This window comes from Homo sapiens, chromosome 2 (assembly GCF_000001405.40).
Source record: "Homo sapiens chromosome 2, GRCh38.p14 Primary Assembly".
Taxonomy (NCBI): Eukaryota; Metazoa; Chordata; class Mammalia; order Primates; family Hominidae; genus Homo; species Homo sapiens.
Genome location: NC_000002.12, coordinates 217,501,731 through 217,518,911, shown reverse-complemented (window position 1 = coordinate 217,518,911; position 17,181 = coordinate 217,501,731). Strand labels below are relative to the sequence as shown.

General features: G+C 37.9%; 1 long non-coding RNA gene across 12 annotated transcripts in view, besides 1 other annotated feature; it reads left to right on the top strand.

Moving 5' to 3' along the window:
* DIRC3 (disrupted in renal carcinoma 3) overlaps positions 1-17,181 on the top strand; it is a 506,425-nt gene that overhangs the window by 271,532 nt on the left and 217,712 nt on the right. The window contains exons 5-6 of one of the 12 annotated variants that reach the window (NR_186293.1): positions 6,720-6,800; positions 10,717-10,785. The exons of the other annotated variants lie outside the window; for them this stretch is intronic. This is a non-coding gene — a long non-coding RNA (disrupted in renal carcinoma 3). The remainder of the gene's footprint in view (positions 1-6,719; positions 6,801-10,716; positions 10,786-17,181) is intronic. 12 annotated transcript variants of the gene reach the window in all.
* Positions 7,957-8,046: a silencer, noted in NCBI's record as "silent region_12307". NCBI's record gives its function as "represses an Ori minimal core promoter by ATAC-STARR-seq in GM12878 lymphoblastoid cells {active_cell/tissue: GM12878}" and the evidence as "EXISTENCE:reporter gene assay evidence [ECO:0000049][PMID:35858748]".

Below are 17,181 nucleotides of genomic sequence, written 5' to 3'. Positions count from 1 at the left end.
CTGAATTGGCAGATTTCATCCATTTCATCCTCTCCTTTTGAGTTCTCTGGAATCTCCTATATTCCCACCAAGTCCTTGTGAATCTTTAGCTAACTTGGTTTCCCCAGGGGTGCAGATTTATATTCAGAACATTTAATGGCGAAGTCTTTAGGAAATAGAGGAAAAATTTATGTCATTTCTTTGAGGCCAAAGGCTTTTGGGGACTTGTTTGCTTTTTGGGCTTCTTTTATAGCTTTTTGGGTCTTCTTTGGCTAGAGACTAAGTGTTTTAAAAGGGTCCCAGTGAGATAGTTTTGACATCCTTGTCCTCTCCCTGCTCTACTTTGAGAAACACTGGATGGCTAAATGGAATCCCATCTATGCAGAGGAAAAATTAAGGCCCCTAATTTAGTTCTGGAGTTTGAAGATATCTTAAGATCATTTAATGCATGGTTTCTCAACCTCAGTACTGTTGACATTTTGGGCCTGTTGGACTTTTTATTGTGAGGGGCTGTCTTGTGCATTGTGAGGGTGTTTAGCTGCACCCCTGGCTGTACCCACTAGATACAGTATCACTCCCCAATTCATAACAATCAAACATGTCTCCAGATGTTGCCATATGTCCCTGGGACACAAAACCACCCCTGGTTGAGAATCACTGACCCACTCTCCCATCCAATCCAGAATTTTCCTTTAGCTTATCCACCATATGTGCTCTGACTGCTGCAGGGGCCTGACAATGCACCTCCTCCTTTCCAGCCTGTTTCCTGATATAGTCTAATCCCCATTTCATAGATGTTTCAGGAGAACAAAATAGCCATGTGTATAAAATGTCTGGCCTTTTGTTGTGCTTGATAACTGTATTCATTATATTGATCCCAAATCCCCCATCTTTAACTTTTCCTCCTTTGTCTAACACCTGAGTGCCATGCAGACTGTGTGCTCTTTGGATCTCCTGACAGCTTTGAATTCAGCCATTGAAGGCAGCTATCCCATCCTCATTTCTTCTCAGCAGACCAGGCTCCATAAACCTCGATTCCTTTTCAGTTCAGAGACAACACTTTTCAATTTAAGAGGAGATTGATCGCTGAGTTAGCGTGGAGCTGGGAAGAAATGAGATTTTAAGGTTAACACCTCGATGGGGGAGACGGAACTCCTAAAAAGTCCTTGCTAGAAAGAACTGCTCCTTCAGAGGTTGCAGCAATCACTGCAGAGAGGCTGGATGCTAAAAAGAAACCAAACTCCAAGAACATACGTTTCTGCAATGACACCCTAATCTGGCGCCCCATGAGGGGCAGGCTAGGAGACTGAGGCCACACTGCCCTTGACATCTCACTCTCACCAGTTGCCCATTTGGAAATAGTTCCTGACACTTTCCAGGAAGTATAAATGAGTCATGAGCCCTTGAACACAGAGATTTAAGAAGCCACCTGAACCCTCAGAACAGCCAGCGTTTGCTGAGTAGTTTTAAAAAAGCACTGGGTCTTACATTTAAGTCTTTAACCCATTTTGAGTTGATTTTTGTATGTGGTGAGAGATAGGGGTCTCGTTTCATTCTTCTACATGTAGATATTCAGTTTTACTAGAATAAAAGAGATGATTCTTTCCCCAATGTTTGTTCTTGGTGCCTTTGTCAAAAATCAGTTGGCTGTAAATGCCTGGATATATTTCTGGGTTCTGTATTCTATTCCATTGGTCTTTGTATCTGTTTTTATGCCAGTACCATGCTGGTTTGGTTTCTATAGTTTTTTAGTAGATATTGAAGTCAAGTGGTGTGATGCCTCCAGCTTTATTCTTTTTGCTTAAGGTTACATTGGCTATCCAGGGTCTTTTGTGGTTCCACACTAATCTTAGGATTTTTTTTTCTATTTCTATGAAGAAATCATTGGTATTTTGATAGGGAGTGAATTGAATTTGTAGCTCGCTTTGAGTAGTACAGACATTTTAACCCTATTAATTTTTCCAATGCATGAACACAGGATATCTTTCTATTTATTTGTGTCCTTTTTTTCTTTTTCTTTTTTTTTTTTTTTGGAGATGGAGCCTCGCTCTGTCGCCCAGGCTGGAGTGCAGTGGCGCAATCTCAGCTCACTGCAAGCTCCACCTCCCGGGTTCATGCCATTCTCCTGCCTCAGCCTCCTGAGTAGCTGGGACTGCAGGTGCCTGCCATCACGCCTGGCTAATTTTTTTGTATTTTTAGTAGATACAGGTTTTCACTGTGTTAGCCAGGATGATCTTGATCTCCTGACCTCATGATCCGCCCGCCTCGGCCTCCCAAAGTGCTGGGATTACAGGCGTGAGCCACCGTGCCTGGCCGTGTCCTTTTTTTTCATCAATATTTTATAGTTTCATTGTAGAGGTCTTTCACTTCCTGGGTTAAATTTATTCCTACTCTTTTTTTTGGTAGCTGTTGCAAATAAGATTGTTTTCTTAATTTTTTTTTTGGATAGTTTGCTGTTGGGGTTTAGAAACACTGTTGATTTTTGTGTGTTGACTTTGTATCCTGAAACTTTGATAAGTCTTTGAGGTGACAGATATGCTAATTACTCTGATTTTATCATTACACAATGTATACATGTATCAAAACATACTGTACCCCATAAATATATATGACTATTATATGTCAATTAAAAACAAAATAAAACTTTAAAAAATTTTGAAAACATAAAAGGAGGCTTGGTGTCAGGATGCCACCAGATATTCCTGTGGGGAGACTTTCTACATCCCTCCTTGCAGAGGCCAAAAGCTGAGCTGACCTCATATGCTCCCATATGAAAGCTGAATTGCTCTTGTCAATTTCATGCCTGGAATATGCAGGCCTCAGGAACTGCTGTCTTGTGTAAGGGGAGGAATTGTGAGTCAAAGTGCCAGGGATCCATCTAGCTGGTGCCAGAAAGATCCCCCAGCAGAGATGGCAGGCCTTATTTCTCCTTGGATCACGGAGGAGAAATTGGGTTGAAATGGCTCAAGTTTGAGAGGATGGTCTCCCAAAGTCCCACTAGAAGCAGACTGAGGTCATGGACGATGTTAAGACTTGTACAAGAGGCGGTCCTACCTCCTGTCCCCTGAGACAGGAGAGCCTGCCAGCCAAGGGGGTTAGACTTGATTGTTTACACACAGGGACCCTGAGTCTGGCCTAAGGCTCCCTGGAATTTACTCTTAGGCGGTCTCTTGATTTATAAGTCTAAATCACATTAAGTACCATTGTGAATCACCAGTGCCTGTCCCTGGCAAGGTTTTGAAGATAAGAGCTCCAAAATGGGAGGCTTCTCTGAGCCCAGGGAAGAACAGAACTGTTTTCTAAGTCTACGAAAAAGCATTAAACTGCTTTTTGGGCATCTCTGGGAGGTGTGGAGGAGAAGAGGGGATTTTCCAAGGTTTCTTCTTGCTATGATCTGACTTGAGGCACGAAGAAAGAGGAAAGATAAAAAAGGGTAAAGCCTATTGCAGTTTGGAGGTTCCCTATCAGGAATAGTTACTACTCCCTGTGGAAGGTCTTTGTTGTACTGGACACTCTTGAAACAAATGTGACCTTAATCTTTCCAGAAGTATTGAGTCTTTGGCTGGAAAGAATGTCCACCTGGGTTCTCTAGTTCAGTCTCCTGACTAAACTGCAATACTGTTAAGAAACTTCTCCTCAAGAGCCATTGGGTTTCAAGGGTCTTTAGACTTTGCAGGCGGGTATCTCATAACCTCAGATTAAGTCAGAGAGCCAAAGGAACTTGGAGATCAGTCAGCCCAATGTGGTCATTCTGAAGTTAGAAACCCTGAGGACTGGAGAAGTGATGTGACTTGCCTAAAACTACACATCAATTAGTGTCAGGGTCGGGACCATGATCCAGAAGTCTTTCCTCCTAGTCCCGAGCCATTTCAGAGACTCCTGTCATTCTCTCTAGTTCTACCAAACCTGTGTTTGCTGGGGATGTTTAATTGCTTTTGCAGTTTTCACTTTTTTTCCCTCTTCTAAACAGCTATCTTTATCCATGAGGGTGATAATGAGCCATGGGGAACAGTAATATCTATATTTTCCCCTTTTCCTTTAATAACATTTACTGAATTATTCATTATTAATGGTTAGTAATTCATTGTTGAATTATTAACATGTATTGAATTATATTTATTAATTTATTCACTCAACAGTAATCACTGAATATTTATTGAGCATCTTTTATGTGCTAGGGATGGTGCTAAAAGCTCAATGTCTATTACCACATTTCATCCTCAAAGTCACTCTAAGGTGTAGCTACTCTTTGTATCTCTAATTTACAGACAAGGACACTTGGAGAAGTGCTCTAACTGCCCAGGTTGCACCCAAGTTAAACCTGGATTTGAGTCTTATTTCTGCCATTTCTTTGCCTGGTACTTGATTTGATGATTATGTTGTACTAGCTCTCCTACTTGAGTTAAAATTAGCTCTAAGGTCATAAATGGGCTTAAGGACTTCTCTAAGATGATCATTTGCAGACTGGATACAATGTTTTGCAATGGCTATATTATCTCTCTTTCTGCAAGGACCTTCCTGCTGTTCTAATCCTCACATGGAAACTACCATGCCCATCTTCAACTGAGCCAGTTAGTATTTCTTTAGGGCAGGATAACATTTTGGGCCACAAGAAGTTATCAGAAACAGTTCACTCCAAGGTTACATAGAGCACATTAAGCATATTACTTCCAAAGGTGGACTATTTTTGTTATTTTTATCTATTAATTAATATCTATTAATCTATTAGTCTATAATTCAAAGCACTTTAAAAGCTATAAATCTTGATGCATCAAACATGACCAGGCTTGTGGTATATGATAACCATTCTGGATCCCAAATGTGGAGACATTAGAAAAGTGAAGCCAAGGCTGAGCATGGTGGCTCACGCCTGTAATCTCAGCACTTTGGGAGGCCGAGGCAGGCAGATCACGAGGTCATGAGTTCGGAACCAGCCTGGCCAACCTGGTGAAACCCTGTCTCTACTAAAAAAATACAAAAATTAGCCAGGCGTGGTGGTGTGCGCCTGTAATCCCCAGCTACTCAGGAGGCTGAGACAGGAGAATTGCTTGAACCTGAGAGGCGGAGGTTGCAGTGAGCTGAGATCGTGCCACTGTACTCCAGCCTGGGCGACAAAGCAAGACTCCGTCTCAAAAAAAAAAAAAAAAAGAAAAAGAAAAGTGAAGCCAAAAAAGTGATTCAAGGATACAGGAAATTTTACATTTCAGGTGTTCCCTGACATGGCCCCAGCCTACTCTCTGATGACAATATATCCTGCCACCTCACGATATGCATTCTTCATTACAGCCCAGCACACTCACTGTTTCTTAGAACATTGCACTTTGGAGTCTTTCTACCTCTATGCCTGCTCTGGGGCTCTGTATAATACCACCTTCTCAGTGGAACTGGATCTCTCCAGTTGGAATTAATTTCTTCTTTCACTGAGTTCCTCCCTGCATTTCTTATCACACTTGATACATTCCACTTGGTAAAGTAGCTATTTATCTATGTGACTTAGCTTAGCTGGGCTTAGATAGGGGATGCCAGTGAAGGAGTCTAAGCAGGAGAATAAAGGGTCAGGTTCGTGTCTGAATGTTTTTCTGTTTTCTTATACAAAGAGGTTGGCCAGGGAGACTTTGACAGAATCAAAAAGAGCCTTCTTGACCTCTAGGGGTGAAGCTGGGCTGGTGGAGAAAATGAAAGTAGATGAGGAAACTCTGCAATATTTTGGAGTGCTCAGGGGCTATGAAAGTCTATTCTTTTCTGCCTCTGGTTTCCCAATTCTTTCTCTAAGGATACTTTTCAGTTCAACAGATCTTCCTCTTTCCTCTGAGACTCTGCCTAATTGTGTGTGTGTGCGTGTGTATATGCATGTGTGTTTGTGTGTATGTATGGATGTGTGTATGCGTGTATGTGTATGCATGCATGTATGTGTGTATGCACGTATGTGTGTATGTGTGTAGTGTGTATGTGTATATGTATATGCATGTGTGTATGTGTGTGTATACATGGATGTTTGTATATGTGTGTGTATGCATGTGTATGTGTATGCATTTGTATGGCGTATGCATGTGTATGTGTGTATGCATGTGTGTGTACATGTATGTATGCATGTGTGCATGTGTGTGTTTGTGTGTATATGTGTGTATGTATGTATGTGTGTGTGTAGTGTGTATGTGTGTGTGTTTATGAATGTGTTTTTGGTTTTATGCTGATCTGCTATTGTTGTCGTCATTGCTGCCAGTATTCCGGATGCAGATGCAGAGAGATAGAGGATCTACAAGTGACAGTTGGATATAGTTTTCAAATGACTAGTGTTGAAGATTGGATCCTGATAAAGGAAGTTTATCTCTTCTTGGCTTCCTGAATGTCAGAGTCGTGGGAACCTGTGAGCAGGTGACTGAGGGGGCAGATTCATCTCCTGACCTTGACAGCTTTAAGAATAGGAGAATCTCCCTACCCACTCAATATTTGCATCTATTTATAACAGGCAAGAGTCATTTCAAAGCAAGGCAAGGGCATTGCCAGGATGACCTTTGGAGGGCCCTTTTGGGATGAATCATCTGTGATATTGCCTCTTCAGCCACTATGGATGGGGAGTATGTATCATTATTTTAGGCACATGAAAACTGAGAATGCTACATAAATTCACATTATTGAACAAGAGTGGTTATGGTGACCTTGAATATTTTCACATTTACCCTTGCAATTTCCCTGTTCCTTCCCTATTTTTATTTATTTAAAATTATGGTCTTCTCTAGGAATGGAGATGTTTTATGTTGTGGGGAGTGGTCTAGAGGCAGGACCCTGAGCCCAGAGGAGCATGGAGAAGAGGGGAGGAGGTAAGGGCAGTTGGCTTCTTTCTGAACTTGGTGAGGACTGTGTGTTCTAGAGGGAACATTTTGGCCTTGTGAAAAAATAAAACCCAACACAGACATGTGGCAGCTCCCAACTAAGCGCCCATCCCTTAGAGGGCTACCAATCGAATGAACAGAGACCCCAGTTCTCTTTGAAACAGCGAGAGAAACAAGTTTATATTTATTTACATGACACCAAGACTCAGTTAACACAGAACTTAATTTCTTTGTGATGCTGAGGCCTGAGTTGTAAGATGCAGGTTAATTTCTTTTGTGTGTATTCTATGGAGAAGAGAGTCATAATGCTAGAGGAACAGTCTAAAACACATGGAATATTACTGGAAAGACACTTACAGATAGCTTTCCATCAAGAGAGAAAACTGGCATCCAGAGAAGTTAAACGACTTGTCCAAGAGCGTATGGGGTGTTAGTAGGAAAACTGGCCTGGAAGCTGGGAGACCTGAGTCTAGTGAAGCTTTATTGGTAATCCTAAACTGTAGTTTATCTTATATTCAAAACAGCTTTAAGAATTTCCTGAGTCTATAACTTAACTTCCAGATTCCAGATTCTCCCTCTCTCTGTCTATATATACATATATGCACACACACAAATACATATACACACATACAATAAAACATACAATATACACACACAATATAACTGAGATAGAATACTCCAAACTTCAAATTACCTACAGATAAGGGAGTAAACTCCCAGGCTCAAGGTGGTCTCCAGAGCAAGTGCTGGAGCAAAGACTCAGCCTGAAGATTGTTTGGAAAAGGAGAACGGTGCCTGGGGGCATTAGTGTCCAAAACCACAGACAAAATAACCTCCAGAAAGAGAACTTCGCACCTGACTGAGAAATAGCTTGAACAACTCACAGGCCAGGTAGCCTGAGGGCGCTGCTTCAGGATGCGAATGAAAGGGAGGGTTTGACTGCCCATGGGGCTGGGCTGGCCTGTGGAAAGGGCACTATTTCTGGAGGAGAGGGGGCCGCTTGGCAGCAGGGCTTCAGAGGCGTCTGAGTGGAGGGGAAGAACGAAGAAAGAGTGTCCTACCAAGCAAAAGTGGATCTCAAAGCTCAGAAGGCACACCAACCCCTCCCCCACAAAAGCTGCTGTCAGTGAAGAAACTACACTTTCCCATGCCAACAGAAGAGGGTGCTCTTGAACTAAGAAACATGGTCAGTCATCAAACGCCATGACTGCGCCTATCTACAACTGTATATTTAAACATCTAAAAATGAATAGAAAATGGCAGACGACACTCATACAAGGCCAATAACTTAAAAAAAAAAAACAGGAATTAAAACATTCCAGCAGATGAAAATGCTTCTACCGAAATCAAATATGAGGTGGAAGAAAACTGTAACAGAACACCCACACTGAATTGAATATCCTAAAACAAGCATGTGAAGATAGAAAACAAAAACCTTAAATCAGAAGTTTTAAGCTTTATAAAAGAAATACGACCAAAAAACCCTATTATTTTGTGAAAAACCCTATTTTTCAGGAAAATGCGAAATAAGAATTGAGTGAACTCAGGAAAGATATGGAAGGAAAAGACAAAATCATCTTAAAAATAAAGGCCAAGTTATAAAGTACCCATGGAAAAAGAGATTTGACTGAAAATATGAAACAGTGAGGAAAGCCATGAAAAAAGGGAATAAAAATAAAATAAGGAACAAAGCAAAAGAGATCAGAGAGAAAATAATTGATAGAAGAAGGCCATTACAATAGAAAACCACTAGTATTTAAAACCACAGACTAAGAGAAATGTCTGAAATTAAAAGAAAACTTGAATCTGCATCTTTAAAGGCTCCTCAGTATCCCTGGGAAAATAAACCTGGAATGGTGAAGTCCAAGACATATACTAGGAAAATATTGTAATTTAAAGATAAAGAAAAAATTTTTCTAGATCTCCAGGCAAAAGTATCAAATCACTTACATAGGAAAGAAAATCGGACTTCTCATCTAAAGTAAAAGAATAACACAGTCACATCTTCAGGAAACTAAAGGAACTGTGGAATAGCTTTTATGTAGATGAGCTAAGCTTCAAGTATCAAGCGATTTTCTATGTGCAGAACCCCAGAGAACACTGCAATCACTATCCAACTTTAATGGTCCTACTATAGAAAAAACATCATTTAACCAAGATAGGACCTGGACCTGAAGAACTCTGGAAAATGGACTGTGTGAGCATTGAATATATTTCAATGTAAATCTGTAACTTAAACAAGGACAGAGTCATGGGGGGAAGAACAGTTCAACTGTTATATGTGGTGACAAAACTGAAGTGACCTATTGTTGCATAGACAATAGGTGGGAATGAAGAATATAATTTGAAGCAAATAAAACACTAAGTAGCAGAGTAAATGTGAGAAAAGAGACTAAGGGCATTATAATAGGTAGTGGCAAAAAGGTAAGCACTGCAACAAAGATATTAATCTTCCTAGATATCAAAAAATAAATATCACATGAAATAAACCACACTGAGAAAGAAAAATTATATACATAATTTTACACAGAATACAAGTTGAGACCATGTACATCAGTCATATTACTAAATTATATTTATTATATTATAATTTATTGATAAGCTTATTAATAAATTACATAAATCCCCAATTAAAAATATTTTCAAATTGACTCATACAGCAAAACTCAATTCTGTGAGATACATTTGAGACACACCTACAATAAAGTGATTCAGAAAGACTAAGAATAAAGAGGTATTCCAGACAAATGGAAACCGTAAAATAAAGACACTCAAATCTAATCAACATAATTCATAAGGTAGACATTATAGATATATATGAAACCTCCACTCTTGCTAATATTGGGAATATACTCTCTTCTTAAGCACAAATAGAATGTTCACAGAAATTGACCTCATGTTGAGTAACTGTCTTCCTCTAGGCTGCTATAGCAGAATATCAGAGACTGGGTGGCTTAGAAACAACAAAAGTTTACTTCTCACAGTTTTAGAGACTAAGAAGTCTAAGATCAAGGTGCCAGCAGATTTGGTGTCTGTTGAAGACCTACCTCCTCATTCATAGACAACACCTTCTTGCTGTGTCCTCACATAGTGACAGGGACTAGCTAGCTCTCTGGGGTCTCTTTTATAAGGGCACTAATCCCACTTATAAGGGTAGATATCTGATGGCCTGATCACCTCCCAAAGGCCCCACCTCCTAATGCCACCACCTTGGGAATTAGGATTTCAATTCAATGTGAATTTTAGGGGGACATAAGCATTCAGCCCATTGTAGTCACAAAGAAAGTTTTTGAGTGAGTTCCATGAAGTAGAAATTAATGAGAAAATTTAAAAACGTTCTTCTACTTGGAAATTAACATCTGTTAGATGACTATTGGGTGAAAAAGGATATACAAACTAAAATTGCAGAATTTCAAAAAACAATAATAGAATAAAAATATGCACATCTGATTTAATGAGAAATAAAGCAGTGATCTGAGGATAATCTGTGGGATTAAATATTTGAATCAATAAAAAATAATTACAATAAATAAATTTTATTCCCAACTTAAAAACCGAGAAAAATTACAAAGTAAATAAAAAGAAAGTATAAAGCAGGAAATAATAAGGATAAAAGAGGAAATTAATGTAATACAAAAGAGTAAAAAAAGAACTAATTAATGATTCGAAATGCTGGTTGATATGGTTTGGCTGTGTCCCCACCCAAATCTCATCTTGAATTGTAGTTCCCATAATCCCCTTGTGTTGTGGGAGGGACCTGGTGGAAGGTAATTGAATCATGGGGGCAGTTACCTCTATGCTGTTCTCATAGTAGTGAGTGAGTTCTCACGAGATCTGATGGTTGTATAAGTGGCTATTTTCTCCCTCTTCGTTCTGTACTTCTCCTTGCTGCCATCATGTGAAGAAGGATGTGTTTGCTTCCCCTTCCATCATGATTGTAAATTTCCTGAGGCCTCCCCAGCCCTGTGGAACTGTGAGTCAATGAAACCTCTTTTCATTTATAAATTACCCAGTCTCTGGTATGTCCTTATAGCACTATGAGAATGGACTAACACATGGGTTCTTTGGGGAAAAAAGGAAAAACAATATACTGATAACTAACCTAATCAAGAAAAAAAGGCAAAGAGCAAATATACAAAATAAGAAAAGACTAGAAGGAAATAATCATTATAAAAAGGAAAATAAATCACAGGTTGACTACTTTGCAAAACTCTATGTAAATACATTTGGAAACTATGAAATTGATTATACCATATGAAAATGTAATTTACCAAAACAGGTCCCATTTGATATAGAAAGCTTAAGCAGACCATTCTCCAGAGTAGAAAAAAAGTGAAGAAAGTTGTCAAAAATTATTCCACGTGGAAACACTGGACCAATATGGTTTCATAAGGGAATTCTATGAATCTTCAAAGATCACATAATCTCAAATAAATTGTTCCAAGGTATATAAAATGGAGAACTTCCAAATTCTCCATATAATGTTGCTATCAAATCCTAATAAAGATTAATATTAATGGTGATAACAATGATCATTATTATTGTAGGAATCTACAAGCCAATTACCTTTATAAATATAGATGCTAAAATTAGATTAAAAAACTAGCCAAAAGTTTCCAACACCATATTAATAAAACATCAATATCAAATTCCAGGAATGCAGACTTTAAATATGCAGAAATTAATTTATATAATTCACCTTATTAATAGATTTAAGGAGAAAAATCAAACAATTATCTCCATAGGTGCTGAAATGACCTTCAGTAATATTCAACACTCATTCCTGAAAAATGCACTCAATTAAATAGAAATAGAAAAAATGCACTCAAAAAGAAAGACTTCACGCAGTTTACATATGTGTACATGTGTATATGTGCTTTATGCATATCCGTGTACCTCTGTCCTAAACTTAGCATCTTATTTAATTGAGAAGCCTGGGAGGCATTCCTGCTAAGGCCAGAAATAAGATAAGGATGCTATCTTCCTTACTATTTAACATTGTCTTGTCGGTGTTAATCAATACAATTAGATATAGGTGTAAAAATTTGAGAAGCAAAAACTCTCTATGCAGATGAAATGATAGTAAAGCTTGAAAACCCATGAGAATTCATGATTAAACTAATTGAAATTAAATAAGGAATTCAATGAGACAGTAGGATATAAATTAACTTATAAAAATCAATAGCTTTCATATATACAAAAATAACCAATTACAAGATGTAATGGAAGAGAAAACATCCATTTATAATTACAACAAAAAGAGGTGAAACTTGAAAAGAAATATGCAAAATCTAAATGAGGAAAATTCTAAAACACTTCAGAAAGACATTCAAGTAGACTTGAGCAAGTAAAAAGGCATCTGTTCTTCTTGGAGAGAAACTACTCAACATCATACAGATGTCAGCTCTTCTCAAGTTAACATGTGAATTTAACTTAAATGCAAGAAAAATGTCAACAAGCTTTTGTTTTGTTTTGTTTTCTGGACCTAAACAAGTTGATTCTAAAATTATATAGAAAAGTGAACATGCAAGAATGGCTGGGAGACCCTACACAGGGGGGATGAGGGAAGCAATAAGGGGAGATTGGTCTTCTTGGATACTAAAACGTACTGTAACTGCTTGGTGGTTAACACAGTATGGTAGTGGCACATGAATGGAGAGATCAGAGGAACAAGATAGAAAGTCCAGAAATAGATTTAAGCTAGCATAAAAATGTATTATTTGATATAGATGGCATTTCAAATCATTGGGCAAGTATGGACTTCTGAATAAATGGTATTGGGACAGTTGGACAACTATTTGGATAAAGACAGAACTGGATCCACACCTTACACCATATACCATAATAAACTCTGAAGGCACGAGAAATCTAAATGGAAAAATACATAATAAACAATCCATACAAATACTAGAAGAAAACATGAATGAATATTTTGTAACTTGAATATAGGACAGGCTTTCTAAATGTGACTAAAGATCCATATACAATGAAAGAAAAGATTGAGGAGTTGTACTACATAAAATTAATAAAGAATTGTGTGGCTAAAAAAGCAAAAATATTTGCAACATGCATCAGAGATAAATGCCCTCTCCTTAATGTATAAAACATTTTTAAAAATTGAGAAAAAAGCAAAAATCGTGAATTTCCACAAAAATTATAGGAACTTGACCCTTAAACACATGAAAAGATGCTCAGCTGCACTCTTAAAACGGTTACACAGACCAAAACTATACTTTTATAACCGATTGAGTTGGCAAAAATTCACAAGTTTAACAACTCATTCTCCTGCTGAAGCTGTGGGAAAATAGGCTGCATTAGTGCGCCTCAGCTGCCATAACAGGATACCATAGACTGAGGGGCTTAAACAACACGCATTTATTTTCTCACAGTTCTGGAGGCTGGGAGGCCAAGAACAACTTATCTCCTTAAAGGTCCTCTCTCCAAATACAGTCACATTCTGAGGCACTGGGGGTTAGGGCTTGAACAGATGAATTTTCAGAGGACATAATTTGGCTCATAACACAGTCACATACATTGCCTTTGGAAGTTCAAGTGGTGTAATCAGCTTGGAGGGAGATACGGCAGAGTAACATTTATCTGCTGACTCTGCAACTGACTCCTATAACTTTATTCTGAAAACTTCCAAAACAAACAAACAAACAAACAAAACCAAAGTGAACAAAAGAAACATATGCACAGGGTTATTCATCAAATCATAATTTGTAGGAGTAAAATAACAAACAACCTGAATACCAATATATAAAATATTGGTTGAATAAACCCTGGCACATCCACACATTGGGGCAATTATTTAACTATAGAAAAGAATGATGAAGGGCTGGGCGTGGTGGCTCACGCCTGTAATCCCAGCACTTTGGGAGGCCGAGGTGGGCAGATCATGAGGTCAAGAGATCGAGACCATTCTGGCCAATATGGTGAAACCCTGTCTCTACTAAAAATACAAAAATTAGCTGGGCATGGTAGTGCACGCCTGTAGTCCCAGCTACTCGGGGGGCTGAGGCGGGAGAACTGCTTGAACCTGGGAGACGGCGGTTGCAGTGAGCCAAGATCACGCCACTGCACTTCAGCCTGGCGACAGAGCAAGACTCTGTCTCAATGATAAAGATTTTTATTAATTGCTTAACTGCTTAGGGTTACTTACACTGATATGTTTTAAGTAAAAAAAATGCAAAGTGCAAAAGAGTACATATAATAGGCTTTTATGTAAAAAAAAGAGAAAGAAAACAAGAAAGAACGCCCCCCCCCCCCACACACACTTATATTTACAAAAAGAACCATGGGAAGAATAAACCAGAAACTAATAAAGTGATTGTCTGCACAATGGATATAGGATAGGAATGAGAATAGGGTAGAGGGGATGAGAAAGGAGTGAACTTTTATATAACTTTTTATATAGTTTTGACTTTTAAGCCATGGTAAAGTCATACATATTAAAAAAAAAAACTAAAAAGGACAAAATACTCTAATCTGAACACAAAGAGAAACAAATGAACCCAACTATACAACCGACAACACAGCCCACACAGAAACTGATTTTCAACGCAATACCCTGACCGAATATGTTTCGTGGGATATAGCCTAGTGCAAAAAAGAACTGAAAAGAAATTTAAATTTTACTCTATATGTTTGTTGTTGGTTATGGTACTGGTGTAGTAATTCCCACACTACTTTTTGCAAATTATAGGAAAGAGAATTAAGTCAATATTAGATGTTGTTAACCGCCATGAGGGAAGGGAATTGTGAATATGGAAGGGAAGGAGATGAAGAGTTCGCTGTATTCAATTTGAAGGTTTCAGAATAAACTCGTGGTTTAAACACTTAAGTTTCTTAGTTCATTCCATAAAAGATATTCCAGGTCTCTGAGGAAGGAAAAGTGCAATTTTGGGAGAATATTTTATTGTCCCAAGAAAATGTTCAATAACTAACGAGAACATATCAAGTAAACACAGGAGCCAGCTTGAAGAAATTCTCACTAGTCAAATTAGGGACAAATTGAGAATCAAAAAGAATAATGATCGTAATGCCTTTTAATGCACCGAATTAAAAACTAATGATTTCAAAAACAAACTGACAAGCAAAACAAGACTAGGTGGGAGGGTGAAGAAGAGTTCTTTACAGAGAATGCTAGCCGAATGTTGCAGATGACGGAGTTTAAAAATTATCTGGTGAAAGGTTGTTGGGTCACAAGATAGTCATATAAAGTTTAACCTCACAAGTGACTTACTGATTGCAAAAGAGAAAGCTATATTTACATTAGAATAATCTAGTAAACACCTTTTTAAGCAGTCATCAGATAGATTGGGATAATCTATCTGTTTCCTGATGTGATGCACTGAGAAAGACACAACAAAACTTGTCATATTCTTGCCAATATGCGTAATTAGAATTTAAATATGAGAAAACAATACAGTTATTATGGAAAACAGTGTAGAACTTCCTCAAAAACTTAAAAATAGAACTATCATATGATCCAGCAATCTCACTACTGAGTATACATCCAAAGGACACAAGATCATTATTTGAAGAGATATCTGCACTCCAATGTTCATTGCAACACTGTTCACAATAGCCAAGTTATGGAACCAACCTAAGTGCCCATCGACAGGTGATTGGATAAAGAAAATATGTATAGATGCACAAAGGAATAGCCTTAAATATGAATGAAATCCTGTCACGTGTAACGACATAGATGAACCTAGACAACATTATGTTAAGTGAAATAAGCCAGGCATAGGAAGAGACAAACTTCATGATCTCACTTACATGTAGTATCTAAAAAAGTTGAATGAATAGAAATAGAGAGTAGATTGGTGGTTACCAGGGGCTGGGGCTGAGGAGTTGGGAGATGTTGGTCAAAGGATACAACATTTCAGCCAGATAGGAGGACTAAGTTCAGGAGATCTATTGTACAACACGGTGACTATAGTTCATAATAATGTATTGTATTCTTGAAAATGGCTAAGAGAGTAGATTTTAAGGGTTCTCACCACAAAAGTGATAAGTACGTGAGATAATTCATATGTTAATTATCTCAGTTTAGACATTCCACAATGTATACATACTTCAACAAGTGTACATAATAAACATACACAGTTTTCATTTGTCAATTTAAAAAATAAATAAATATGAGGAAACAATCAGAAAAATCCAAATTTGTAGAGCTGGCTACAAAAAAGTTGGCCTGAGTGCTGCAAAAATCTCACTCTTACAAAAGGTAAAAAAAAAAAAATAAGTGAGGGAATTGTTAATGAAGAATAAAGGGATACAACAAATAACTGTAACCTATGATACTAGATTCGATCTTTGATTTAGAAAAACAGCCATAAAAGACACTATTATGATAATTGGGAAAATATGAATATTTACTATATACTAGATAATATTGTCACATCAATGCTAAATTTCTTGAGAGTGATAATGATGTTGTGGGTGTGTAGGAAAATATCCTTGTTCTTAGGAGATACAAAATGAAATATTTACAGATGAAGTGTCGTAATGTCTAAAACTTTCATTTCAATGGTTCAGATGAAAAATTAACCCAAGCACACAAAGGGTGAAATGTTAAAAATGGATGAATAAGAGAGGTATAAAGGTTTAGTCAATAAACCAGATGTGGGGTGGCCAATGCCTGTGATGGTAGCAATCAACAGACAAGTACCCCACAAATACAGTAGCCTTGTCCAGATTCATGGGTGTCCGCATTTCATTCCAGATGAAAATGAAAATCCTGAGAGAGTTTTTCAAAGGAGAATGTCCTAAATTAGTGAGTCAATGAAACATTGAATTCATCAGCATACTTTCTTGTAAGATATATTTCCTTAGAAAACTTTGAAGATTTGTCTGCTAGTAAGGGAAGCTTTGGGATCCATAAACACTCTTAGGACTATTGCTCTCATTATTTTCAGGACAATTTCAAAGTCAATCTTTTGCTTAAAACTGTTTATTTAATTTATTTATTCACTTAGTCATCCCCTATGCATACACTTCAGGCCAAAAATGTTGCCTGCCACTGTAGATTAAAACATGACCCAATTTCTACTTCAAATCTTATTGGGGCAGACATGATCAAACAGCAGTTAAATATACCACTATGGGAACTCAGAGGAGAACGAGTAACTTTAGCCTGGGGGCTTCAGAAAAGACCTGATATAGCACCCTATAATTTTCCTTCATGGCACTTATTCGTGATTATGATTATGGAGTGAGTTCAGAGACTACCAAGTTAACATTTATGTCCCCAGTAGACATTGGGTACTACGGGAGAAGAGACCCACAGGACTATAGCGAGGAACAATCTTGTTCCCCACTATACACCCAACATAGTACTCAGCATATATTGTACTATCAA